The sequence below is a fragment of the Homo sapiens genome, chromosome 5 (assembly GCF_000001405.40).
Source record: "Homo sapiens chromosome 5, GRCh38.p14 Primary Assembly".
Lineage (NCBI taxonomy): Eukaryota > Metazoa > Chordata > Mammalia > Primates > Hominidae > Homo > Homo sapiens.
This window is the reverse complement of record NC_000005.10, coordinates 96,063,970-96,091,844: the sequence shown is the minus strand read 5'-3', so window position 1 is coordinate 96,091,844 and position 27,875 is coordinate 96,063,970. Positions and strand designations below refer to the sequence as shown.

General features: G+C 38.8%; 1 protein-coding gene, 2 long non-coding RNA genes and 1 other non-coding gene across 16 annotated transcripts in view, besides 4 other annotated features; 1 reads left to right on the top strand and 3 right to left on the bottom strand.

The window, feature by feature from the left end:
- CAST (calpastatin) overlaps positions 1–27,875 on the bottom strand; it is an 813,255-nt gene that overhangs the window by 682,839 nt on the left and 102,541 nt on the right. Inside the window, exon 2 of one of the 13 annotated variants that reach the window (NR_186779.1) lies at positions 15,405–15,472. The exons of the other annotated variants lie outside the window; for them this stretch is intronic. The gene's annotated coding sequence lies outside the window, so the exon portion shown is untranslated. The remainder of the gene's footprint in view (positions 1–15,404; positions 15,473–27,875) is intronic. 13 annotated transcript variants of the gene reach the window in all.
- The window catches only part of LOC101929710 (uncharacterized), a 669,085-nt gene that overhangs the window by 539,241 nt on the left and 101,969 nt on the right, over positions 1–27,875 (bottom strand). The gene's annotated exons all lie outside the window — the stretch shown is intronic.
- Positions 1,220–1,721: an enhancer, noted in NCBI's record as "NANOG hESC enhancer chr5:95425828-95426329 (GRCh37/hg19 assembly coordinates)". NCBI's record gives its function as "activates a minimal SCP1, AML or CMV promoter by ChIP-STARR-seq in naive and primed H9 embryonic stem cells {active_cell/tissue: H9 hESC(naive and primed)}" and the evidence as "EXISTENCE:reporter gene assay evidence [ECO:0000049][PMID:30033119]".
- Positions 7,817–8,605: an enhancer, noted in NCBI's record as "OCT4-NANOG hESC enhancer chr5:95418944-95419732 (GRCh37/hg19 assembly coordinates)". NCBI's record gives its function as "activates a minimal SCP1, AML or CMV promoter by ChIP-STARR-seq in naive H9 embryonic stem cells {active_cell/tissue: H9 hESC(naive)}" and the evidence as "EXISTENCE:reporter gene assay evidence [ECO:0000049][PMID:30033119]".
- Positions 8,334–8,534: a silencer, noted in NCBI's record as "peak5359 fragment used in MPRA reporter construct". NCBI's record gives its function as "represses an SCP1 promoter by STARR-seq MPRAs in K562 erythroleukemia cells {active_cell/tissue: K562}" and the evidence as "EXISTENCE:reporter gene assay evidence [ECO:0000049][PMID:32103011]".
- MIR583 (microRNA 583) lies at positions 12,633–12,707 on the bottom strand. The gene has a single exon (NR_030309.1). It is a non-coding gene; the product is annotated as a microRNA 583 (primary transcript).
- LOC105379096 (uncharacterized) overlaps positions 19,378–27,875 on the top strand; it is an 86,202-nt gene continuing 77,704 nt past the window's right edge. Inside the window, exon 1 of the long non-coding RNA XR_001742447.2 lies at positions 19,378–19,444. This is a non-coding gene — a long non-coding RNA (uncharacterized LOC105379096). The remainder of the gene's footprint in view (positions 19,445–27,875) is intronic.
- Positions 25,487–26,389: an enhancer, noted in NCBI's record as "OCT4-NANOG hESC enhancer chr5:95401160-95402062 (GRCh37/hg19 assembly coordinates)". NCBI's record gives its function as "activates a minimal SCP1, AML or CMV promoter by ChIP-STARR-seq in primed H9 embryonic stem cells {active_cell/tissue: H9 hESC(primed)}" and the evidence as "EXISTENCE:reporter gene assay evidence [ECO:0000049][PMID:30033119]".

Here is a 27,875-nt window from a genome sequence, read left to right as displayed (position 1 = left end):
TCCTGTATCACATGAAGAAATCATGGCTTTAAGAGATTCAGGGCCAGGTACGATGGCTCATGCCTGTAATCCCAGCACTTTGGGAGGCTGAGGCAGGAGGATCACGAGTCCAGGAGCTTGAGACTAGTCTTGGCAACATAATGAAACCCTGTCTCTACTAAAAATACAAAAATTAGCTGGGCGTGATGGTGCACACCTGTAGTTCCAGCTACTCGGGGGACTGAGGTGGGAGGATCACTTGAGCCTGGGAGGGCAAAGCTACAGTGAGCCCTGATCGTGCCACTGCACTCCAGCCTGGGTGACAGAGTAAGACCCTATCTCAAAAAAAAAAAAAAAAAAAGGCCAGGCATGGTGGCTCATGCCTGTAATTCCAGCACTTTGGGAGGCCAAGGTGGGTGGATCACCAGAGGTCAGAAGTTCAAGATCTGCCAGCCTAACATGGAGAAACCCCATCTCCACTAAAAATACAAAAAAATTAGCCAGGCATGGTGGCGCGTGACTGTAATCCCAGCTACTCAGGAGGCTGAGGCAGGAGAATCGCTTGAACCTGGGAGGTAGAGGTTGCAGTGAGCCAAGCTTGTGCCACTGCACTCCAGCCTGGGCGACAGAGCGAGGGTCTGTCTCAAAAAAAAAAAAAAGAGAGAGATTCAGTAACATGCCTGAGATTACCCAGCTAAAAATGAGCAAGGCTGGCTTTCAAATCCAGGCCTGTCTGTCTCCAAAGCCAGCAGCCTCCACCCCAACCCTACACTACAAACAGACGGCAATAAGTAGTAATGGAGACAGGTGCAATCTACTGTAATGTACCTTCCCCCCAGGCATCTCTCTCCTCACCAAAATGCACCTGGGAACCTGCACACAGGAACATATTCCAAAAGCTGGGAACAATGGATGGGCATCTGGTCTCTCACTAGAGCTCAGAAGAACTCAGTCCTCCTCTGTGGACTTGAGGCCATGGCCTCAAGCTTCGGCAGCATCTGAAGTTGATGTATGTGTGTACAACTACAGCAACTAGATGGAGGCCACAGGGGAACCAAAGCAAAACACTTTAGTTGCTTCCTGTTCTCTGCTGATCTCCCAAAAGAAACACACGCACACACACACACTCCATTCCACAGAAGTTCCCTCAGAAGGTACTTTATTTTAAAAATACCCTCTTCTTCTCACCAACACAGACATGATTTTTAATATATGTTTTAAAAACAAAACATAAAAAAGTCTTTTAAAAAAATTTTTCAACCTCTTCCGGAAAGTGAAGGCCCCAGGAGACCTTGGGGAAAAAGATTCTAGGTAGCTCCATGGCTGTTTAGTCCCCCTGAACTAAACAGCTGCCAGAACTAAGAGGACCCCAGAGAGGCCTAATGGTCACAGCCACTAAGAAGTGTGAAGCTAGCTTGGGGAGCTCTGGGGAGGATGCTGCCAGCTCAGTGGGAACTAATGGCCCCACCTGCTCTAACACCAGCTCAGAGACTGTTTTAAATTACAACACTGGTAGAGGTTTTGTTTATTTGCTTTGTGGTACCTTGTTCTCTCTTTTTGTTGTTTAACTTAGTAAGCCATAGAACCTTCAGTCAGCTGCAAGGGGAAGACATGCTCTCAAGAAGGACAAAGGAACAAGTTTTGGCTGCCATAAGGTACTAGAGACCCGTATCCCACCAACATAACAACCTGAAGCCTTGCAAGGGGAAGGGAATTAGCTTTCATCAAGGCTTGATTAAGGATTATGGCCTAGGCATCGTGCTAGGGACCTTACTTAACCTTCACAATAACTCTTGAGATACTATTAATCTCTTTTACCAGGGGGAAGGAAAAAAAATAAGATTAGCACACTGGGATACCACCAAATAATTTGCAGAGTGTCACACAGCTAATTAGTGGGGGAGGAACTAAAGGTCTGACTCCAAAGCCCAGTCAGAGAATATCCTTTCTGTGGAAAGCAAGAAATAAGAAGAAATACGAATGAGAAGATAAAAAATCAACATCTTCTATTTACTTATCATTTATTTAGTTACCTATTTACTTGAAGAATAATTATATGCACAAGAGAAACATTTTAAGCTTTATAAAAAAGCATACAGTGAAAAGTAAGTCTCCTTCAATCCTTCTCTCTTGATTTCCCAATTCCCTTCATCAGAGGCAACTGTTGGTAATAGTATGTCAAGAAAGGCTACACATACACAAACAAAAACACGCACATGTATACATACAGCCCTTTTTAAACACAAATGGCAGTATTGGTCTTCCCCTTCTTTGTTAACTAGTACATCATAGAAATTTTCCATATTGGAACATTTAGACCCACCTTATCCTTTTAACAATTATTAAAATAATCTATTGTATGGATGTATGATAACTTATTTAACTCATCCTCTATTAAGTGGACCTTTTGTTAAATTGTTTTCCATCCTTTTCTTTGTAAACAATACTATATAAATATCCTTGTACATTCTTCCTTGATCACATATGCTAGTATACTTTTGGGATACATTCTCAGAAGTAAAATTCCTCCCTCAAGAGTATGTGCATTTTAAATATTGATAAACATAACAAAATTGCCTCCAGAAGGCTATGCACTGGTTTATAATCCTCGAAATATATATTCATTCCTACTTCCTCCACTGTTACAAAACAGTGTTGCATTCTGTGTTTAAAAGAAAAACACCTATGTGTTCACCTACTCCTTTAAAAGTCATATACTTCCTTCAGTGCGAAGAGGGGAAATTTATTTATTCAGGCCTGGGCATATTCCCAGAGTTAAAAAAAAAAAAAAAAAAAAAAGATTTTTGGAGCTCCTTGCACTGCAAAGGATGCTGACTGAAAGCATCTGATCCCCAATTAGATGATGCTGACAAAGTAGGAAAATGGAATAAATCCCTGAAAACAAGCAGTTGGCTGTAACTAATCACCTCAATCCACCAGAGCACTGTCAGAGTCACCCCTGGGTATCCCAGCAACCCCACCAGCCTGCTGCACAACAAGGCCAGGCCAGGCTGTGATCCAGGAAGGGATGCCTGCCCCAAGCAGGAGCATTCAAAATCCAGTATCTGTCCCTGTTTCTCGGGGAAAAGGATCATGGGGAGGGACAATACATCAGAAACCTAACACTAAAGAGAGACTGACAAGTATCGGGCAGTGCTTCCTGATATACTGAAACAAAAGGAAAATGGATATTCTAGAAAAATGAAACATCCTCCATTATATTTTCCACTATATAAAAACTTTCTAGAGTGAATAAATCCCTGATGGATTTGCAACACTAATATCTTCATCCAGTGGAGCAGTCCAATCCAACTTGTAGGATCCAGGCAGGAATCCTGGGCTTCACAGGCTGAGAGAATTCTGCCGCCACACATTCTCTCATTGTCTTAGCTCTCCTTACTTGGGTCTGCTAAAAGCCTGGGTCTGCCATCCTTTCAGGATGCAAATATAAAATGTTCCCCTTGCTGAGCTGTTGATTGTCAAGATCTGGGAAAAAGAATACACTGGCAGCCATGGCCTGGAGAGGACATAGAGAAAGAGCAGTGGCTTAGATGGGCATCGAGGGTTAACTGACATGAGGGGTAATTTGTCTCCGGAGGGAGTGATGAGGTCCCAGTTGCAGTCACATTAATGGATTGCTTGTAGCCTGGCTTTATTTTTTGAGTGTGTGCACAAATATTACACAACTAAAACAACAAGTAAGTACGCATTACTAACACCACCTGTCAAAGATTTTTAAACCAGGATGTTGCTGTATAGAGCTGAGTATTTTAACCCCTTAGGTGTCTTCCAGCAAGCAGCAGAATGCCTTGTAATTATTACCTGTGTTTTTCCCAATTAGCAACCAACAGCATATTGTCATGGAGGCATTGTTGGGAGTTGTTTGCCTCTATGCAGATGCATTCTGATGCTTAAGTGTAGGTTTCCTGGCTTGATACATGTTATTATAAAAATTACAGGGCTGAAAGAATGATTTCAGATGAACTTGTTTCACTCCATCTGATCTGAAGCAGCATCTGGGTCAGCCTCACAGTTGGAGGTTGCTGGGTAGAGGTTGCTGTTGCCCAGCCTACATCCTGTTAGCTATATATAAAAGTTAACCTGATTTGCCATCGTTAGCTCTACTCCTCTGAAATCCCGCCAAATCAGTCACTAATTCACTCTCAAGTACCATCCATCACCACTCAGATGAGCTTTGCTTCATCTTCATTGATTGAGTTTGATTGAGTGATTGATTGATTTCTTATTACTCTGTCATCCAGAGAAAAAAATAATTTGGAACACTCATCTTCATATTGTATTCCAGGGGTCATTCAGCTCAATTTGGATTTCTGTGATTTGTCTGTCTCCCTCCATTCCACTGACACTGCCTTTCCTCTATTATGCACTTCTGGTATAGGGAAAAGTTTCATAAGCAAGAATGAACAACAATCTATGAAAAGTAGAAAGTTGAAAAAGATTAGAATCTTAAAAAAATGGAAAAAAATTAAACTGAAGTTTGAATTTTAAGAAGATTGGTTTTTCAAGTTTTAGGTGGAATGTGTAAAAAATAAATGCACACACACTCTTAGTTCTCTTATGTTATAGACTCCATTATATACTACAGGAAAAAATGTAAATGAAACCTCTGATGAAATAACCCAATGCATAAACTGAATCTATCAAAATGTTATGCTAGAGGATTTCTCCCCACCAACACTTACGGAATACTGTCTAATATCAGAGTTATATGAAAGCAAATCATGTAACTATTGAGCAAGTTGTTCTAAGTTCCTACAGGTGGGAAATCTCTGGGTAACCTAGGATCTATCCCTGTCTACCAACAACTTTTAGAGTTGCTTCTTTTGTCTGCATGCCCTTTAAACTATATTTTGTTTCAGAGAAGTTTTAACCAAAACAGGTAGTAGGAATGTTTACTAAAATAAAAAGTAGACCTCAACCAAATATGCCTGCACTAATATCTCACAGATATATATTTCATTAATTTATTTTAAGTAGTAGTAACTTGATACTGCTTGAAATAAATTGATAACTAATTTGAAGGCAGATTAGAAGGGTAGGGCTAACCATCTCATGTAGAAGTGATCTCAAAAGTCAACTAACTAATTCACCGGGGTTATCCTGATATTCTACCCAGGTTTACACAGACAGATAGAAACAGAGCTGAGAAAAAGCTCAGGACATCTAACAGCCTCTCTGGACCAAAAGAATGGTGTCAAAGGAACCATTTTTTAGGGCTTTGGACAGTTTTTATTAACTCAAACTTCATAATGCAATTATTTAAATAGATTTTTAGAGCTTTTAAAAATGCATTCATTTCCTCTTTGCTTTCCTACTTTGGTCTAAAAAGTGATCTGAGGTAGTTTATAGAGATACATGCAATGCACCCTGGTAAAGATTTATACCAAGAGAAAAAATATTTCCCAACGCTTTAGAAATATCCATTTGCCACAGGAAAACATACTCTTATTATAAGAAATTCTGACAATGTTGTTACAAATTGAGAATAATCTGCTAATTGTTGAGGCTTCACCATCCTACTTTGTGATGAGCTACTTCTTATTCAAACTAATTTTGAGTTATTTATTAAAATGGGCCCTCCATTTGCAGGTTCTGATCCTGGGATTCATCCAACTACAGATCTAAAAGATTAAAAAATAAAATAAAAACCAATAATACAACCATTTTTAAAATATAAGTTAAAAAACACAGTATGACAAATATAAATAGTATTTACATTGTATTAGATATTATAAGCAATCTACAGATTATTTAAAATATACAGCAAAAATGTACATAGGTCATATATAAATACTATGCTGTTTTGTATTAGAGACTTGAGCATTCATGGATTTTGGAATCTTTCAGGGGAGGTCCTGGAAGCAATCCCTTGCAGATACAGAGGGATGATGATACCACTATATTCCTTACTCTCATTTTATGATTTCTAGAAAAGTTTGAAATCCAGAGACATTGCCAACACAAAGACATACTGTAAATGAGTTCTGGACAAGATATGGATGTTAATTATGTAAGTAGCCACTACACTAAAAAGTCGGTAGCTGATCCAAGACCCCTGCCCTATCCAGCAGCATCTCTGACCTTCAAGCTGCCCAAGCCCATGAGTGACAGCTGCTGATGGGCTTGAGAAGTCCTGGAGGGACCTAGCACATTTCACGTCTAGTTAAGCTCATGAAACTATGAGTATTGCAAACAGGGCATTGTTTAAAAATTGTTGTAATTTAGGAATGTGACAGTTTATTTGTTCCTCACTTTTTGACTTTCAAGGTATTATTTACAACCTCAGTTCTTAGCCCTCTAAGACTGAACAATATGTATGCTGCCAGTGGATGAAATCATTGCTGCTGACAGCAGTGCAAATAATGTTTATAATTTGGGGTCACAAATTTGCTTTTATAATAAATGTCTCAATTTAAAATTATAAGTGCTCATTTGTTTCTCAAGAACTAGTTCAAATGCCACCTCCACTGAGTCCTCAGGCAGTTCATTTTCGTTCCTCTATTATAGTATTATTCACACTGTGTTGTAATCATGTAATTTATTTGCTTATGTGTCAGTCTTGCTTCCCTGGCTGGTAGAATTTCTGACAGGAAGAGAATAAGTTTTATTTTTTTTTAATTGATAGACAGTAGACATTCAATAAGTACCTAATGAAAGATAAATATCATTTTGATAAAAATCTATGGTGTTTTAAGTTGTTTTCTTTCAATCAGACTGTGTTAGAATCAGGAGATGACTTCATCAGAGCTGTAGGATACTTCCTGGTTAAGTACAGGCTCAGGTGTCTAGCTTCAAGGTTAGAGAAGAAGATAGCTGGAATGGGGTAGAAAGATTAAAAGTCAAAGAATTCAGGGCCTTCCTATCGCTTTATACCTTTGTCTTCCTCACTGGTTGCTTGAAGCCATATACAGTAGTGAGCATGGGCATTTGTTGTTTTTGTCCTCTCTGCTTCCTTTCTTCCTTCTTCTGGGAATAGCACTCTGATTTTGCTTTGGAGGACCACCCACTTCAGGTACATTCAGGTTTACCCTGCCCTCCTCTAGCCAAGGGCTGGAGATCTGACCCAAGCTAGGTCATTCAGATTCCTCTCCCTGGAATATGAACATTGAGCAGAGGGACAGGGCTAACTGGCCCTGAAGTGACCATTCAGCAGTCCCTGCTTCCCAGCCTCCCAGTGGCCTTTACTTCCCAGTCTAAGTCTCTTTCCTTGCCTTTCTTTTGGTTAAGTTTCCCCACTTCCAGTAAATTATTTCTCTGATCCAATTAGCCAGAAGTGGATTCTGGTGCCTGCGACCAACAAATGGTAACTGATAGAATCAGTGAATTGAAGATTAAAATACGATCTGATTTATCCAAAAGCCTAACAAGAAGGAGTAACTCTGGATATCTCCAATCTATTCCCCAGGCTCCTTTTATCTCTACTAACCCACTCCACAATCTAGGTAAGCAATCTGAAGAATCCCAATCCCTCTTTGAATATTCATCCTTTTCCTAAAATTACCCAGTTTACCACATTCATCCCTCTGGCCAGCCCCAACATACCTTGCCTACTAAAGCAACCCACAGGTTTCAAGATCCCTGCAGTGTTCAGCCCTAACCTTCCTTTTTCTCTTGTAACCACCCACCCACTGTGCCATAACAATATTGGAACTTTATTATTATTATTATTATAAGATTTCCAAGTCAGCCATATGTCATTAGCTCACTCCTGGCCAGTTGTTTTACCTCTGGTTCACCAGCAATCATAGGAAGCCTAATTATAATGTTTTATTTAACACTCGTATAGTTCTTACTATGCACCAGGCATTGTTCTAAATGCTTTACACATTTTAACGCATTTAATCCTTATTTTAAAAAACCCCTGCAATAGAAACATAAGGCAACATCTTTAGTAGCTTGCCAAAAGTCTCGTTAACAGCAGAATCAGGATTCAAATGCAAGTAGTAATGCAAGTAGTCTGGCTCCAAGTCTGTGCCCCGAACCACCACACCATGGTTTTGAGATGATGGGTTTATTGCGTGGGCAATTAAAGGGAAGGGCTAATCGTATTTTCATCTGCAGCAGCTGACAGGGTACACTGACAGGGAAATGAGATTAGTCCCCACATGTCAAAAATCTAAAAACATCAAGTCAATTTATGGTGCCCTCCAGACCTCCTACTTTCTTAAACACCATGGAAACAAGCCAAAACAATTCTACAGTAGTTTCCATTCACATTGAGAAAATTCTAATGCCCTGGTGGTAGGTGCCTTTCTTCTTTAATTGGCCTAAAATAGACATGTTAATTTTCTAGAAAGCCTGAAATGTAAATCTAGCAGTAAACTTTTACTACTTGTTTTAGCCCAGTGTGTCACCACTTCTGGGAAAGGGAGGGAGGACGTTGCTGCCTCATGGCTGACTTGCTAACTTCTCTCTCTTTGGTTCAAGACAACAGTTGAAGTGATAAAACCCTGACTATGGGTATGGATGATACACTGAGGCCAGGTGGTCAGATCCCTCCAGAACACAATGTCCCTCCTCTCTCTAGGATTGTTAAACCATCATAAACCGTGCTTCAGAGTATTTTTATTCTCTTTTTGGTATTTCAAATGGCAACTAAAGTTTACTGTAGTCATAACAGTCTTGCTGCATTATATGAACATTTTTACTTCCCTTGAATCTTTACAAGTTTTCTGGAAGAGCATATAAAGCAATAATTTGCATATTGAGTATCTCAATTTACCTGTTTAGACCTAACTCCAAAAATTTCTTCTCCCACTAAGTGCTACAATCTAAACCGATGGCTCTTGGTTTCATGAAAGCCAAATACCCTATGCTATGGAGAACACTGAGTGAAATAATGGCACATAGACAAAGTATTGATACCAATTGTTTCTAAATATTTCTAACTTAATGTTTCTAAAATCAGGGTGAATTTTAGTGTTTCTAAAATTAGGGCAAATGATAACTGAAAGCTAATAGTGGGTATCTGTAGGGAGTGAAATTCTAATTTCTTTCTTGCCTTTTTCTGATTTTAATTTTTTTCTACAGAGAGCATGTATTTCTTTTTAAAAAAGCTCTTCCTCCCTCCTATGGAGAATATATTTCTTTTATAAATAATCCAGGCAGCATTATAAAGAAGATTTGTCCATACCTTTATTATACTTGTGGGATCATGATCATACTGTACTAGGTACTTTAAAAAAAATGTATAACTAATAATAAAAGTAAAATGAGCAGAGAACACTCTGCTTTTCATTTTGGAAGCAGTAAAGCAAGATACACATATAAAGTTACTAAAATAAGTAGAAATGAATTTTCCTTCTTATTCCATAGTTTAGACAGTAAGAGAAAAATCTTCATTTTCACCTGGCAAGGCAGTCTGGTGTCAGAGGACCTAGAGTGTGAATGAATGAGAGATCTGCCTTCTGCTGCTCATGAATGGGTTATGTGAGTTCCTCGTGCCCTGCTTTTTCTCAGCTGCAAAATGGAGATAATTATGCCTAGTCCATAGGGCTGTGAAAGCACCAAGGATAGGTTGTGGCACACAATAGCCAACCAATAAATGTCCATTTACTCATTTAAAAAGCTTACTGTAGGCCTCCTCTGTGTCAGCACTTGCAAGGTAAAGGAACAAATAAAAAAGAAAATAAGAGCTGGGTGTGGTGGCTCACACCTGTAATCCCAGCACTTTGGAAGGCCAAGGCGGGCAGATCATGAGGTCAAGAGTTTGAGACCAGCCTAACCAACATGGTGAAACCCCGTCTCTACTAAAAATACAAAAATTAGCCAGGTGTGGTAGCGTGCGCCTGTAGTTCCAGCTACTTGGGAGGCTGAGGCAGGAGAATCGCCTGAACCCAGGAGGCAGAGGTTGCAGTGAGCCGAGATCACGCCGCTACACTCCAGCCTGGGCGACAGAGCGAGACTCTGCCTCAAAAATAAATAAATAAATAAAGACTTTGTGCCTTTCCTCAAAGAGCTTGCAATCCAGAGACTTAAACAAGAAATCATTTACAATGGAGAAGTTTTAGAAGGGCTAGACATCTTTACTTAAATTTTTAAGAATTCTAATAAAGTATCTTAACTTTAACAATGGAGGTCCATTTCTCCAGGCTGTAGAAAGAGTTCCATTTCTCCAGGCTGTAAAGACTTCATCTGCTGATCTGGGATCCCTCTATCTCTCTGAAGCAGGCTGGGAGTGGGTGAGCATCTGTTTATTTGCTGAGTTGTCCTCCATCTGGTCTTCAGTAGTCAGTCTAGGCAAGTTACTGCTGATTCTGTTCATGTTCCCTGAACAGAATGGCCCAGCTCTCTATTAACAAACTCCCTTGCCCCTTTAAGGTACATGGGATCATTCTGTTCTCTCACACCACACTGGGCCTCAGGAAACTCAGCAAGATTATCCTCTTCCCTTTCCCACTTCCGTGCTCCTCCTGACCACAAGAATATCGTTCTCTGATCCAATGCCATGCTGAGCTCTATGGGACTTCACAAGTTCCCTCAGGTCTCTCCACCTGGATGCCCTGTGCAGCCATTTCTACTCTGGGCTCTTACCTCCCTGGGCCCTACACAGGAAAGAGAACCTGGATTCCCTCTGTGTTCAGATTTCACATACCTCTTGGCAAACTCTGTCACTCTCCTTCTCCCTGTGCTGAGCTAGGGGAAAGGACAAGGCAGAGAGTCTCACTCCTTTGTCAGGAATCCACAGTGTCAACTCAACCTTTGCTTACTTCTGTCTGAAGAACTTTCTGTCCTCTGGAGCATGGAAGCTTGGGGGTGATTTATCCCAGTCATCATTTTATCTAGGCACATAGGCCTTTTGATTCCTTATAGGACCCAGACTTTTGAAACTTACAATCCAAGAAAAGAAAGTGCCATCTCTTCTTTGTGCATTGAAAATACAATACCAAAGCTGATAACATATAAAAGTTATCAGTTAAGGCTTCACACTCTTATCCTACCACATAACACAGGGGCTAAGAGAGCTCAAAGGGAAATTGTGCCTAGCTCAGCTGGGGCACTTGGGGAAGGTTTTAAAGAGAGGGCCCAGCCAGAGTTGAGTCTCCTAGGGTGAATCAGAGCTCAGCTCAACACTCAGACAAGGGGGAAGGTCATTCCACACACAGGGAACAACATGTGCAAAGTCACAGTTAGATGAGTCAGGATTTAAACTTATCTCCCACAATTGTCTAAGCCACATAAATCAGGTCTCATTTTGAGAATGGAATAAGCACAGACATAATTGTTGGAACTGGAAGATACTTTAGGGATCATCTAATCTAATCCCTGCATGTAACAGATAAGGACACTGAGGTCCAAAATGATGAACTTTAATCTAATGTTCAAAAACAAATTAAGACTAAATTCAGACTTTCACTTATACCTATGGTCAGGAACTTTACTCTCAATTTGCCCTGCCAAACTATCTCCTTCAAGCCAAAATGAGCATGAATTATATCAGTATTTGTAATAAGCTTAGTAGTGAGATTTTGTCAAGTTTCAAGAAGAAAAACAGTTATCATCCAATGATAGCATTAATATTTTTAAAAGAGAAAGTCCTGTTTTCCAGGAAAGTATCCTAGTGAGATAATTTATGTAGAATGTATTATATGTGGATATCAGCATGATGTACTTCTGTTAGGTCCTTTAATGCCCATAACACCTCTTCAAGGTATATACTATTATTTATACCCATTTTGCAGATAAGAAAACTGAGGTACAGAAAGTTGAGTAACTTGTCCTAGGTTATATGGCTAATAAGTCGTAGGCCAGTAGCAGGCAGTCAAACCCATAATAATTATGCTTTTAACCACTACAAGATCATATTTCTCTTCATGCTGTTATTCAACCTATAGATATACTACAAATATACTTACAAAACCACACAAATGCACGAATATGTATATATAAGGCTTTTCAGGCAGTGGGGTTTGCTTTTTAAAAGACTAGAAATAACCTAAATACCTATTATTAGAGGACTACTTTAATAAATTAAGGCATATCCTCATCATAGGGCCATTTAAAAGAATAGGATAAAGCTATTTGTGCTGATATAGAAAAATTTCTAAGAAACAAAACATGGTTAAGTTAAAAATAATAATAACCAAGATGTATATAGTATGTTCCTAATTGATTCTTAAAGGTTGCTATATAAACAATATTGAAGTTTGATTACGTAGAGAATGTTTGTGGAAGGGTGCTAGCAAGTAATTAGTAGTGGTTGCCTCTGAAGGGGAGACAGAGAGAACTAGGGATGTGAAATGAGAAGGAAATTCATTTTTCATTGTATATCTTTTTTGTAATTTACACTTTTTACCATATACAAATAAGAGTTATTCAGACTTTACAAACTACATTTTTTAAATTGTCAACTAATGCAATTTTTTATCCCAAGATATCTCTTCAACCTTAAGAATTAGTAAAAAACATACTTAAAAGTGGTTTCAAACACCCAAGTTATCATGTTTGTATTTACCTATAAGAGAGCTCTTTAAAAAGACTAGCCTTCCTAACCCTTGCCAGGATATTGAATCATTCCTGACTCACAAGAGAAAATAGCCAAATGAGTAACAAGCCTGATGCCATTTGGTAAGTGGGAGCTCAGGACAAAGAGTGTGGGTAGGGAGTGAAATGAAGGGGGCCCAGGGGAAAGTACCAAAGAGGTAGGTCCCAGTACTGCTAAGATCCCTGCAGTAATGGGACCTTCCTCTTTGGTTAATGTGTGAGTTGTAAGATGTAAAGAACAGCCTTCCTATCATTTAAATAGGTTTTTTTTTAACTTTAAGTGCATGGGTACATATACAGGTTTGTTACATAGGTAAACTTGTATCATGGGGTTTTGTTGTACAGATTATTTCATCACCCAGGTATTAAGTCTAGAACCCATTAATTATACTTCCTGATCCTCTCCTGCCTCCCACCCAGCACCCTCCAAAAGGCCCCAGTATGTGTTGTTTCCCTCTATGTGTCCCTATGTTCTCATCATTCAGCTCCCACTTATAAGTGAGAACATGCAATACTTGGTTTTCTGTTCCTGTGTTAGTTTGTTAAGGATAATGGTTTCCAGCTCCATCCATGTCACTGTGAAATACATTCTTAAATCTCAACACATACCACATGCCATCATCAATACCCACAAGACAAATTATGCTTAGTGATTGATTTAACTTGACATTAAGTGCTCTAACTACTTTCTTTCCACTTGTTCTTTCTTGGTTTGTTTCATTGTGTTCTATACCTATTAATTCAATTTTTAAAAGCTTGATCAAGATGGTGAAACCCCATCTCTACTAAAATATGAAAAAATTAGCCGGGCGTGGTGGCACATTCCTGTAATCCCAGCTACTTGGGAGGCTGAGTCAGGAGAATTGCTTGAACCTGGGAGGCGGAGGTTGCAGTGAGCTGAGATTGCACCATTGCACTCCAGGCTGGGCAACAAAAGCAAAACTCCGTCTAAAAAAAAAAAAAGCTTGATCAGATGTTCATGAAAATTTACCCCTGTCTTTAAGAATCACCAAGTACCCCTTAATTAGGAGGCTGTGTACTTGGGTAGACTGAAGTGGCCTGAGGGAGAAGGGGAGTGTTAAGAACTAAATGTTTGTGTCTCTCCCAAAATTCATATGTTGAAACCCCAATGTCATGGTGTCTAGAGATGGGGCCTCTGGAAGGTATTTAGGTTTAGATAAGGACATGAGGGTCGGGCTGTCACGATGGAATTAGTACCTTTATCATAAGAGACAAGAGAGCTTGTGCTCTCTCTCCCTCTGCCATGTGAGGGCACAGCAAGAAGCAGGATAATTTCTTTATTATACCAATTTAATAGTTACATCTGCTAAATGTAAAATGTAGTGAGATGGTTTCAGATAAATCTCACCTAAGAAAAAAATGTTCTAATGTTCCTGGTCTGAAGATTACTATAGCATAGGTAATCCAGCTATCCAGTAGTCAAAGTGTACTGTTCCTTACAGAAATAGTAAAACAGATTAAACAAGTTAGTTCATCTTATGTTGAGGCTGGATAATTTATAAAGAAAAGGGGTTTATTTGGCTTATGGTTCTGCAGGCTGTACAGGAAGCATGGCACCAGCATCTGCTTGTGGTGAGGGCATCAAGCTGCTTCCACTCATGGTAGAAGGAGAAGGGGAGCCAGTGTGTGCAGTATCACATGGCAAGAAAGGAAGCAGGAAAGGGAGAAGGAAGGTGTCAGACCCTTTAACAACCAGTTATTTCAGGAACTAATAGAGGGAGAACTTACAAACTCCCTCCCCTCATCAGGAAGGGCATTAATCTATCCATGAGGGATCTGGCCCCATGACCTAAGCAGCCCCACAATTTCAACATGAAGTTTGGGTGGATCAAATATCCAGACGATACCACAGAATTCACATGCAAATAAATACAACTAGCAAAAACAATAAAATCCACAAAGAAAAATGTGTATCTGCCTAATAATCAAAGAAATGCAAATTAAAGCAAATAAATGATAATACCAAATATACATAAAATTGCAGAGAAAGTTATACAGTCATGCTATATACACTTTAAAAAGTATTTGTCAATAAATAGCAAGAACCCTAAAGATGTTCGTAATCTTAACCATTATAACATTTCTGAGAATTTATTCATGAAAAAGTAATTCAACTGAATAATAAAATAAAAAGGTATATATGTTAAGATGTCAATATAATGTTATTTATGATATACATTTACATTTCTAAAATATACTTTAATAAAGTTGAAGGCTAAGTTGCCAGTAGCAGTCAGCAAATTAGGATAGATACTATGAAATATTAATCAGTCATTTAAAGAAGCAATTGTTAATAAGACTAAAAACATGGATAATTTTAATGTCAAGACAGAATGTTACATAAAAAAGCATAATATAAAATATTTTTATTATAAATATTATAAAATCTATATGCATGAAAAGAATTAGAAACTATTATGCAAAAATATATATCATATTGGGAAGATACAATTACTAATTAACTTTTAAATGTTTGCTTACATTATTATTGATATTTATTAAAAATAATGGGAATTTAGGACTCAAAGCTTTGTAAATATAATCTAAATACAAGGAGAAAAAAATGAACAACTTCACAAAATACAACCAATTTCAATCATTGAGCTTGATGGTTATTACTTTCCTTTTGTTTGTTTCCAAAAATTCATTGAATATTCTTATGACACAAATTCTTATGACGTGGCAAATGCTTTCAACTACAGAGACTGACTTCCTAAAACCCTGCCCTAAATGCTATAGCTACTAATTACTCAACTCCAGCAGCCCATTATGGTAAGGATGGCTCCAAAGTTGTTTTCCTCACTAAAATATTTGCTTTAAGCATTGTTTTTTATTTACACGCAGAAGGATTTGGGAGTCCAGGCCCAGAACCCGAGCCCCTTAGGGTTATGAAGAAGTACCTGTTAGTTCAGAAGGAAGATTATAAATTCCAACTGTTCTACTCCTTTTCGATATTTGCTTTTGTTGCCTAGAGGAAAGAAGAGGAATGTGTGTTTTTACTAAATATTTATGACTTTTCATCATATGTTGTTTAGAGCAATATGTTTAGAGTAGGGGTACTAAAAAACACTGAAGATAGACTTCCTTGGTTTTCAAATAGAATGCAGATAATCCCACAAAATGTTATTTGACCTTTTCCTTTACACTTTTATTCTCAGGCTCAGAGTCCAAAATTGTGGTTTCCAACCCTGAAAAAATAATCCTGGAACAGCTGGCCCATAGTGAAAACAGACCATCTTGACCTAGGGCGTGGTTGTCCAGGAAGAAAAAGAGTTATCAAGCAGACCCTGGACATTCACTCTAGAGCTGAAACATGAGTAGGATGCCCAGACAACGTTCACTTCTCCAAAGGCAAGAAGGCACAGACACCAATTAGAGAAATAAGATGAAGTTCCAGTTCCCCTTAGCCTGTTTTCAACACACATGCTTAAACCTAGTGGATTTAATGTGACAAACTCCCAAGGGAAAAAATTATTTTATTTAAATTTTGGTTTGCAAGGAAATGAGACAGTGTTTCATTCACCTTAAAGGGATCATTTAACCCATGAAATAAACATGCAGGCACATGCCCAGGGAATAAAGCAATCTGGCAGTAAGCTTAAAAATGATCCTTCCAGAAAGCATTACCTCTCTGCCTCTTTCCTCAACATGGCTCCAAATCTTCCCCTTTTGCTCAATGAAACTCAATACTTTGAAAACTCTATTTCTTCTTTTCCATATTTTTCTTTAGTTTGGGATGAATGAGAATTGCTTTTATTCTCTTGGCTTGGTCAATTAATTGGCAGTTTGTGGAAGTAGAACGAAAGCTGAACTGGAAATCTGAAAAATTGGTTTCGAGTCCCTACTTAGTCACAAATTAATTACATAATTATTGATAAGCCAGTTACCACTCTAGACATCTATTTCCTCATCTGTAAGACAAGAGGGGTGATAACTAGGATACCATGAAAGCTCAAAATGTCCGTAACTAATAGGAAAACATGTAGATGATGCCAAGAAATCCTAGTGGGAGGGTGTATATCTTTAAAAGCAGATGAAAAGTATTATAGAGTTGGTAAAGCCTTACATTTCATCTTTACCTGGCTTGATTTCTCAGAACTGAATCATTTCATGGGATGCATTTCTCTGAGAACTAAGAGACATATAGATCAAAACAAAGCTCTAAAAATAAAAGACGAACATATATTAGAAGAGGTGACTGTGAGCCAATGAACAAATTCCGGCAGTAGGAATTTCAAACATTCTTTAAGACCAAAGCAAACAAGTAGGAAGGAAAAATTTAGATGCCCATTTCAGTGCAGCTTTTCTTCCTGGCAGACCACTTCCTGGGGATATGCTTTCATTTTGCCAGCTCTGCAGCCTAAAGAAAAAGGTATCCTGGGCCAATTAATTTTCTAAGTTTCCACTGGTTTATTCACCATGTAAGAGCTAAATCATGATTAAGTTAGGGATGAGGAATATGCAAACAAGATACAGAAGAGTAAGAATAAGTATAACCCATAAATAATTCCAAAATCACACACTATGAAATAATTTCAACCTCTTCCTTATTCACCAAACTTTTCCTGTCTAGAGATGATAGCAAGTCACTGAATTTGCTGGTTTAACCTTTGTCCTTCTTTCTTCCCCATCTCAGAGCCAAGGTACTACAGGGTAAAATATGCCTTCTCATTCGTCATTTTGCATAGTCAGATTCTTTTGTGGGAAGCAGTGGAAACTTCCCACCTGTACTAGCCAGCCCAGGCTGCCATCACAAAATACCAAAGACTGTGGTGCCTTAAACAACAGCAATTTATTTTCTCATCAGCTGGAAGTCTGAGATAAGGGTACAAGCATAATTGGTTTCTGGTGAGGGCTCTCTTCAGCTTGTAGTGGCCACCTTCTCACTGTGTCTTCACATGGCAAAGAGACAGCAACAAGTTCTCAGGTGTCTCTTCTTGTAAGGGCACTAATTCCATTATGAAGGTCCAACCCTCGTGACCTCATCTAAACCTAATTACCTCCCAAGGTCCCTAACTCCAAATACCACCACACTGGGGGTGTTAGAGCTTCAACATACGTATTTTGAAGGAACATTATCCAGGCCAAAACATCAGTTAACCTACAAAAGAAATGGGCTTGTTAAAGGATATTGAATCACTTACAGAAACAAAGAGAAGTCTAGAGAAGCAATAGGGTAGTTCAGGGAAGCGAGGTAGCAGGTGCCAACAGTTAGCTCTTCCATGGTGTTCACTAGAAAGAATTAGTTCCAGCAAATTTTTCAGTCTGTGAGTCTCTCGATATAAAATTCAAACAACTCACAGAGAATGTGATTAGCCTAGCTTGGGTCATGCAGCCGGGAACCTTGATGAATAGTTTCACAGCACACCATAGAATGGGGGCAGGGGTGGGAGGATGATGGGAGAATAATTCTCTAAAGAAGAGAGATATGAATACAAGGTGGCTAAAAATCAATAAATACCCAGTGTTCTCTATCAAGAAAGAACTTTAGAACAGGGGTCCTCAACCCCTAGGCAAAGAACCGGTAGTGGTCCATGAGCTGTTAGGAACAGGGTCGCACAGCAGAAGGTGGGCAGCAGGTGAATGAGCATTACCGCCTGAGCTCCACCTTCTGTCAGATCAATGGCAGCATTAGATTCTCACAGGAGGAGAAACCCTATTGTGAACTGTGCATGCAAGGGATCCAGGTTGTGGGCTCCTTATGAGAATCTAACTAATGTCTGATGACCTGAGATGGAAGTTTCATCCCAAAGCCATCCCCACCCCACTGCCATCCATCCGTGGAAAAATTGTCTTCAAGGAAACTGGTCCTTGGTGCCAAAAAGGTGGGGGACTGCTGCTTTAGAGGACAGATCTACCTGGGTTTCAATGCCAGCTCAGCCACTCATTAGCTGGTCTTCTGGGCAAACGTATTAGACTTTCTGATTATTTTCTATTTGCAAAAGTTATTGCATTTTCAAATAGAAAAAGTGATATCAGCCTAATGACAATCCTATGTGGACTAAATAAGTTACAGAGCACCTACTGTATCCTAAGTGCTCAATACATGTCAGTCACCTCTCTTCTCCCTCTTAAACATGCCACCACGGCTACTGATTCACCACATAAGTCTGTACACACAGAATTTTCTTTAAAAATATAAAATAAAACACAACTTGTATTATGTGGACATGTCATACTGTTACCAGTGTTGTGTATGTAAAGCAATTATCTGGCATCAAAGGGATAACAGACTTTGAGTCAGACTTAAATGAAAAACTTTTGGTAAGTGCTCCTGGACTAAGATAGGAAAGTCAAATTTTAACATTAGAGGCCTGTGGAATAAACAATCTCGAATAAACAATCTCAATGACAACACTGCTCATCATTTCTGAAAGCCACAAATAAGCCCTCAGTTTGCTAAACACAAGTGGTCATGTTCCCATGAAGCATTCTTGCCACAGGGCTTGGATTTGGGATTTTGACTAGAATCGCTTGTCTTTGAACCTCTTGAAATTATATGTGTGCACACGCACAGGTTGAAAACCACTGCCTTAACCAAAGAGAGAGATAAAGCCCTATAAACCACTCCAAACAGCAAGAGCCACTCTCAACATTCTCTTTCCTTTGAGATTGACTCAATATCCCTCATGCTACAGTGTGTCCTACTTAACACCCACAACAAAAGTAGCAGCAAATGCGTAACACACCAGAAAGTACACAGCTATGCCAGGGATATTGCTGATCTCGTCAAATTATTTTAACAGTGGACTTTTTTTCTATGAAAATCCTCCCTGAAACTCAATATGTAAAACAGAGTTTAAAGAGACAAATGGGTTTCATGGGCAGTTTACATCTTAGTTGATTTAAGGAAAATGCTTCTCATTTTTTGCAGAAAGGCTGAAGCACCTGTAAAAGCTCCTAGAGTCACTTAGAAGACATTTAAGTCATGAAGACACTGGTGAGTAGCTCTCCTGCAAATTCATGTTCTCCAGCCGTAGCTGCTGCTAACCTTTGGCTGGCTTCCTTCCTCCTCCACACAGTGGCTGTTTCAAAATTGTTCTTTCAAGTCCTACCTGTTCTTCAACCCCTTACTCCCTGAAGAGTATAAGGACTCCACAACCACGAGGGTCAGGCCTTAACAATATAACTACCAAGGCTTCTTTCCTCCCTCCTCAAGGTATAATGCTCCATACCCCACCCATTCTGAGCTCCTTTTCTATTGTTTTAGTGTTTTCCCAACACCAGGCATTCAAATATTACCTCCATGACTTTTGCCACATCTGTATTATTATATTTTTTATCAATTTAAGTTTTCTTTTCTAATCAATATTAGTTTTCTTTGTATCAATTTAATTTGCATTAAAACCTTTCATTGGAAAATGTTAAACATATATAAAAGTAGAGAGAGTAATATAAATTATGTACCCATGTACCGGTCAGCTTCAACAATGACCCATGACCAGCTTCAACTTATGACCAATCATTTCTTCATTTATATCAACTCACTTGCCCCCACTTCCAAATATTTTGAATTAAGTCCCAGTCATAGCACTGCATCAATAAATATTTCATTATGTATCTCTGAAAGATAATGGCTTTTTAAAACTTTTTTTAAAAAAACTAGCAGATAAGGAAAAAGGATAGATACAAAAGTAAGGAAGGACCATAATCCGGGGAGTAAAACAGCATCCCAAGTGAGAGGAAAAACCAGAAAGGTGAGAGACAAGCAAAGAAAAGTAGGTCTAGGCTGGCCAGGAAAGTCTCCAAAGATTAAGAACAATAGGCCTGGTGCCAGGAAAACTTTGGGTACAGGTGAGGGCTGGTCCATGAAGTATTGGTAGGACTTTGGGGAAAATGACAGTGCCATTGGTGGGTAGGAAGGATGCCTAGGAATAGGGATGGAAAAAAGGGAAGCAGAGAAACTGGTTCATGCCTGGGGACTGATATACGAGTGCTAGACAAGTGATTCTACAATCAGAAAAATACCAAAGAGAACTGAAAGGGACTGGAGACAGAGAGATGGTAATGGTGGTAGTAGCTGGGGGAATGGTGTGTCTGGGAAAGCATAGAGCTGGGACCTGAGACTCAAATGGGGTGCTGGTTTGGGGAAGGGTTGTTAGGAAATATAGGGTGAAGTGGGCTTGAGAAGGGACACTGCGGGGACTGAGGGAAGGGTGGGTACAAAAGGATGAATGTTGTATATTGGTGAGGGCTGAGGAGAGGCCCACAGCATGTGACTGTCTACCCTAAATGGGTCGTGATCTTGGCCTAAGGCAAAGCACCTCTGCATACCACCAATGACCTCCTGCCTGGGGAATCCAGTGCCCTTTAGTCCTCACTCTACTCATCTCTCTGTAACATTTCACTTTCTTGCTCACCACCTTCTTCCTTTGCACTTTTGATTTCCATGACACTGTAGATTTCTCAGTCTTTGGATTCTCCTTATACCTCCCCAACTTGTTCTCCTTAGTCCTTGGGCGAGCATTCCTCCTCTTCCACCTGCCCTTCTGGGGCAGATGTTCCTAGGGTTACATACTTCCTGTTTAGCCTTGTCTATTGCCACATCTATAGGGTGGTTACGAAATTTATATCTCTAGTCCTATCTGCTATTTTAAGCCTAGAACCCAAATTTCTGTCTATTGTACAACTGTCTCCACACTGATGTGCTGCAGATATCTTCAATTCAACGTATTCAAAAACAAAAACTCAATTTTGTCTTTCTGTCCCACAGATCTAGTCCTCCCATTTTCCTTGCCTTGGTCACAACATCGCCAATCACCCAGCTGCTAAATGAGAAAACTTGGAATCAGTTTTGATTCCTCCCTCTTCTTCACTCACTAACGTAGGCATGTTTGTGGCCACCCAGCATCTTGTGAACGTGCATTCTGTGTTTGAAGAATTTCTCATACTGTGAATCCTGTCCCTTCAATATGTGGGTACTATAGCCTACCCAAATTAATACATAAAATCAGTCATCACAGATAGTGACTCTGACAAAGGAAAATAATATGGGCCCTTGTCCTTGATTAATAAATGTCTAGTTAGGAAGATGCTTACATAAATAAACAACTATAAATCAAGTTATGAGCCTTGTGGTAGGTTCCATAGCAGTTATAAACAAAGGGCTTTGGAAATGGAGAGGAAGGAATAATTACTTGACTAGGGATAGTGAGATTAATATTTAAATCATGAAACTTTAAGTGAAGTATATTACCCTCATAATGTTGTTGGGCCTCATCCAATCATTTGAGGGCTTTAATAGAATAAAGGCTGAGAATAAAGGCTGACCTTCCCTAAGGAAGAGAGAATTATGTCTCCAGACTGTCTTCAGACTTAAGCTTCAACCTCAACACTTCCCTGGTTTATTTTTGTAGAGACAGGGTCTTGCTTTGTTGGCCAAGCTAGTCTCAAACTCCTGGCTTCAAGCGATCCTCTCACATCGCCCACCCAAAGTGCTGAGATTACAGGTGTGAACCATCATGCCTGGCTTGCATAATTTGGATTTGCCAATCTCCGCATCTACATGAGCCAAATCCTTAAAACAAATCAAGATAGATAGGCTGGGTGTGGTGGCTCATGCCTGTAATCCCAGCGCATTGGGAAGTGAAGGCAGGAGGATTGCTTTAGGCCTGGAGTTCAAGACCAGCCTAGGCAACACAGCAAGACCTCCCTCTCTACAAAAAAAAAAAAAAAAAAAAAAAAAGTTTAATTACCCAGATGTAGTGGCACACACCTGTAGGGCTAGTTATTCTGAAGGCTGAGATGGAAGGACCACTTGAGCCCAGGAGTGAAGGCTACCGTGAGCTACGATTGCACCACTGCACTCCAGCCTGGGTGACAGAGCAAGACCCTGTCTCTTAAAATTTTTTAATTAAAAAAAGATAGATGGATAGATAGATACACACACACTATTGGGGCATGTGCATGTATGCACATACACACACACATAGACACACACACACACACACACACATAGACACACACACACACACACACACACACATACATACACACATGCTTTCCAGTCTCCACAATCACATAAGCCAGTTTCTTAAAATAAATCTTAAATTCTTAAAATACACATATATTTGTGTATATATGTGTAATATAAACATATTTTATATACATACACACATATATATGTATATATACACACCTGTCTTCCCATGTGTATGTATACATATATACATACACCAATGTATACATATATACATACAGCTCTTGGTTTACATGTATACATACATGAAGACGGAATCAACAGGATGTGTGTGTATGTGTATACATATATATACACATCTGTATATACACATACACACACATACACACATATACATCTGGTTATACACATGCACATATATACATATATACATCCGTATATACACATACATACACGCATACATCCTGTCGATTTTGTCTTCATGTATGTATACATGTAAACCAAGAGCCATATGTAAAAATGTATACATTGGTGTATGTATATATGTATATATACACACAGGAAGACAGGTGTGTGTATATATATACATATGTGTGTGTGTATATATAAAATATATTTTATACATATACACACATGTGTATATATTTAAGTTAAATATATGCATATATGTATTTACATACACATTTACTATGCATATGTATATAAATATGTAAATTAATATACATATATGTTTAATTATATATACATGAACAATTAAAAATTAACTGGGCATGTGCATACATACACATATTATACACACACACACACACACACACACACACACACACATAATCCTATTGGTTCTGTTTCTCTGAAGAACCCTGACTAATACAGGGTTCCTTACTAGTCCAGTGGGTGGGTTCCCATATCAGATGTTTAGTAACTGCTCCATGAATGGATGGAGCTGGAAGGGAATATGGAGCAGGAGAAGTTGAAAAATGTGAGGCAGTAGGGCACAGGGACCAGGAGTCAGGGTAAAGTTCTAGCGGGGTGGAGCATGATTCTCAAGGTGAGACTTCAAGAATCCTGCTTCTTATTCCGTTTTCCTAGACAAGACCCAAGACAGACACTGTTCATTCAGTAATAGAGATAATATATAAGGCCAGAGGTTCTTTTGGCTAGATCTCTAAGAGACCAGGGTTCAGACAGGGTAATGGTGAAGAAATTCCCAAGCAATGAGTCAGGGCCCAGGAAATGCTTCTGCCTGACTAAAATGATGACAGGATCGTTATCAAGATGTGTCTAGATGTGCACGTAAGTTATGAAGCGTAGGCCAGCCATGACCCTCTGTCCTTCCCACCTGTGCCGCCTACATCTTCCCTCACACTCTCTCCCTGACACCTTTATTCCCAGAGATGCTCTTTACCTCTGACTGCCTTTCCCCAGCTAGAGTGGCCTGTCAGCTGCTGTGGGTTCCTGGCATTGCCCAGCCAGGGCTGCATTTAAAAGCCATTTCACTCTCTAGTCTGTGCAAATACAGGAACTGTGTAAGCAAGTTTTTTTTTTTTTTAAGGGAAAACTATAAAATGTGGACAGTAAATTACATTGCTGTTTTTCCCCTCCCAGTGCAAAATGGCAGGCTGTTAAGTGGTTTGGAGCTAAGTCAGTGTTTCAGATTAAAGGGAGTCAAATCTAAACCTCACATTACTTCAAGAGCATGAAAAAGATATAGCCTTAAATAGTCCCTATAACTGACAGAGGGAAAGGAGGCTGATTGTCAGTTATTACTGCTAATTTTGTATTTGCAGATAGGTGGAAGGTCTCTGGATCTTTTTAAGCACAGGTATGCCCATTTTAAACTAGGCCAATTTAGGAAAACCTAGTCTAGCAAATCAGAAAGTTTAGCAAGTGATTCTTCACATTTCAAAGAATTCTTCACTTCGAAAGCAATTAAGACCATCTCTATGATTAGTAATGGTTTAAAAGTCTGCCACAAATGTATTCCTAATGATCCATCAGAAAAGTATTTCCCTTACTGAAGGGCCCTGGTAATTATTTAGAGACTATAATGAGCCATATCCACATTGCATTATTTAAAACATGTATTTACTGGAAGACTATATTTGACAAAGGATTTCCTACACCTATAAAATTGGCCCCACTGTCAGATTAAATTGTAAAAGGAAAATAAAAAGAAAATACAGAATATAACCTTAAGCACAAGATTGCTTGAAATTCAAATATAATACCCCTATTACCTATTTTTACATGGCATTAACTTTAAACAAAGGATTGAGTACCTGACATTATAGGAACCTGAATATAAATTTGTTTATCCCACAGATGTAGTTTTATTGCTTACTATATGTAAAGCACTGTGTTATCCCCTAAAGTAGATAGAAAATGAAGGTGATGCTTTCCCTCCAAGAAAACTGGAGAAATAAGGCATAAATATGAATCACTTAAGAAATAACAGGGCTGGGTGCAGTGACTTAACACCTGTAATTCCAGCACTTTGGGAGGCTGAGGCTGGAGGATCAACTGAAGCCAGGAGTTTGGGACCAGCCTGGGCAACATACTAAGACCCCATCTCTACAAAAAAAAAAATTTTGTTAACTTGCCAGGCATGGTGGTGCATGCCTGTAGTCCTAGCTACTAGGGAGACTGAGGGGGGAGAATTGCTTGAGCCCAGGAGTTCAAGCTTGCAGTAAGGTATGATCACACCACTGTACTCCAGCCTAGGCAATAGAGTTAGATCTTGTCTCTAAAAAAATTTTAATTTTTAAAAATTTAAAAAAACAAATAAGATCAGAAATTATATAATTAAGTGCCACATTGAAAGTCAGACGGTAACTACAACAGGAAAGGGAAAACTTATATGGGCTGAAGTAGTAAGAGATATGAAACCTGATCTAGCTGAGAAACAGATGAGAGGAAGACAGGCAAGAATTTGCCCTGAAACTGGCTCAAAACAAGCTAGAGAAAGGACTTAAAAATGGAAAGAAATAGGCAGAAAGTGCAGAGGTATTAAAAAAGAAAAAAAAAAAAGGTTGTTAGAGAAATCATTATCAAATAGCAAGCAGTGGGAATGAATGGAACAGTACAGAGACAATGGGGAAAAGAGAGTCAGAAATCATAAGAGATAAGAGATCAAACCCTGTCATAGCAAAAGGGATACAGGCTGTCTATCAAAGCCCTATTGTTCAGGCTGACCCTGTCAGCAAGATTCACACTAAAAGGGTATACTACAACTTTTCAGTCTCCAAAGTACTGGCTTGCAAGTGACACTTAAACCTCTTTTAATGATAGACCTAGTTTGAAACTCACAGAACAGTTTTTCATCTTCTCTCTTCATTAACCTGCCTGCACTAGCAGTTTTCTGTCATAAAATGCTTAACAAAGCTTTAACAGGAATGGGAGTGTTCTAGTCTGTTCTCTTCCTCATTACACTCTTAGGAGGTGCTCTCTCTGCCCCTGTAATATATTTCCTTAATACAGTTCCTGACTCCACTGAACTCCCCTTCAATTGTTGGAAACTTTGTTCATGATCATACCAGGGACAATATGTGCTCTTTCATAGTCATAGTAAGGTGACAAGCTTTGAAAAGGATCTGTGGGTTAATTGCCCTAGAATTAAACCTTTAAGGCCCACAGCAGGGGCAGAGCTAAGAGTCATCTCAGCACAAAGAGAATTCACTCTCTGGCAACAGGCTGAGGGGCTAAACCAGGGTTTAAAAGATCCATGCCTACAGGGTGGAGGACAACCCACTTTGTATACCAAATATGCTATTTCTATTTCTAGATTGTGGTGTCTTTTAGTTGCACAGTGCTTTACAACTTTAAAAAAATCCTATCACTTACCTTATCTCATGTTCTAAATGCTTTAAAATAAAAGATGCTTCAAAACTAGAAAATATTAATTTGCCTTACTGTGTTGTAATATATACACAGTATAGAGAATAAGTTTTAAACATACAGCTCAATTAATTTCTACATATATACATATAAATACACACACACACACACACACACACACACACAGATCATTAACCACCATAGGATATAAAGAATTTCCAGGACCCCAAAAGGCTCTCTTGAGTACCTCCCCCAGTAATTTTTTTCCTCACAACATTAAAGCTTTTTAAAATAAAAATTTAAAAATTGTTAATCCAAACATTTCACTGATGTTTAAGGAAGCTGATTTGACTCATTAATATACTTTCAAAGTTTTAAGAAATAATGATAAAAAAAAAAGCCAAAGACTTATATATGTTAATAGTTTCCACCAAAAAGAAATGTACTATCCCTCTCACTAAACCCTAACCTTTTGAACTGACTCATCAGGGACTTTTTAACAATACTAGGAACTATTGGTAACAGGAATAACAAGTACCAGAAGGCAACAGTTAGCTTTTAAAATGTTTAATCCAGAAATATACCCAAATACATAGCCATTACCAACATGTGAAGTCAGCGGAAAGAGGATAAAAGGAGCTAAGCAAGGGGACATCTGGCCTGGCTTTTTTGTGAAGTCTTCTGTTAATTTTTATGCTGGTTTAACTAACGCACATAGCATAGAAATAATATAGTAGCATAAATGTTACCAAGGGCAAGAATCAGAAACAAAAAACAATTCCCAGAAAAGGGAATTTCATACCTTTCTACGAAAGACTAGGTTATTTCAGGCAACTATGGGCTTATAACTATTTAAATAGTTAAACAGGTGGCTTTCTTCTCCTGTAGGCCACAGGCACAAACTACAATGAATATCACTTGTGAAAATCAGGCACAAGTGAATGAAGAAAAGTTTCATAACTGGACAGACAGCACCAAGAGACTTTACCACAATAACTATCCTCATGGTCAGGGTTTAGGCACATTCTGTAATTAATAAAGATTGATGTCTTTAAATTTAATTATCAATTTAAATGAAAGTACAAAAATGAAATCTTTATGAGGGCTGCAATTACATACTTTTGCCTATCATTCAACAGCTGTCTGCAGTACTCTAATGCCAACTTTATTTGTAACAGAATATTATATAATCAAAGTTAGCTTTGTGCAAAAACAATTTAGATTAAGTCTGGAAACTCTAGGTTTATGAGAGTCTCTAACTTTCTCCACTCCCTGAAATAATCTCTATTCAACCTTCACTCTTATAGAGGGTAAGAAGAGGTAAGAGAACCAAGCATGGCTTTTAACTATCACCTGGTCAATAGCATCAAGAAATACTGGAGTCAAAGCAGAAAAAAAACTACTGTCTCTTTGCTACCATTTACCTCTTTGTTCTCATGGCCAATAAAACACACAAATCTAGGTCACTTAAAATCCTCTAATAGCTAAATGCATCTTTAACAGGTAACCAAGTTAAATTATTCCCCTGTCTCCACCTGAGAATAAACCATGATGACTACTAGGTTAGCTTCCCCACAGGTAAACTGAGGAATGGATCATGTATGCTTGGGAAGCTCTT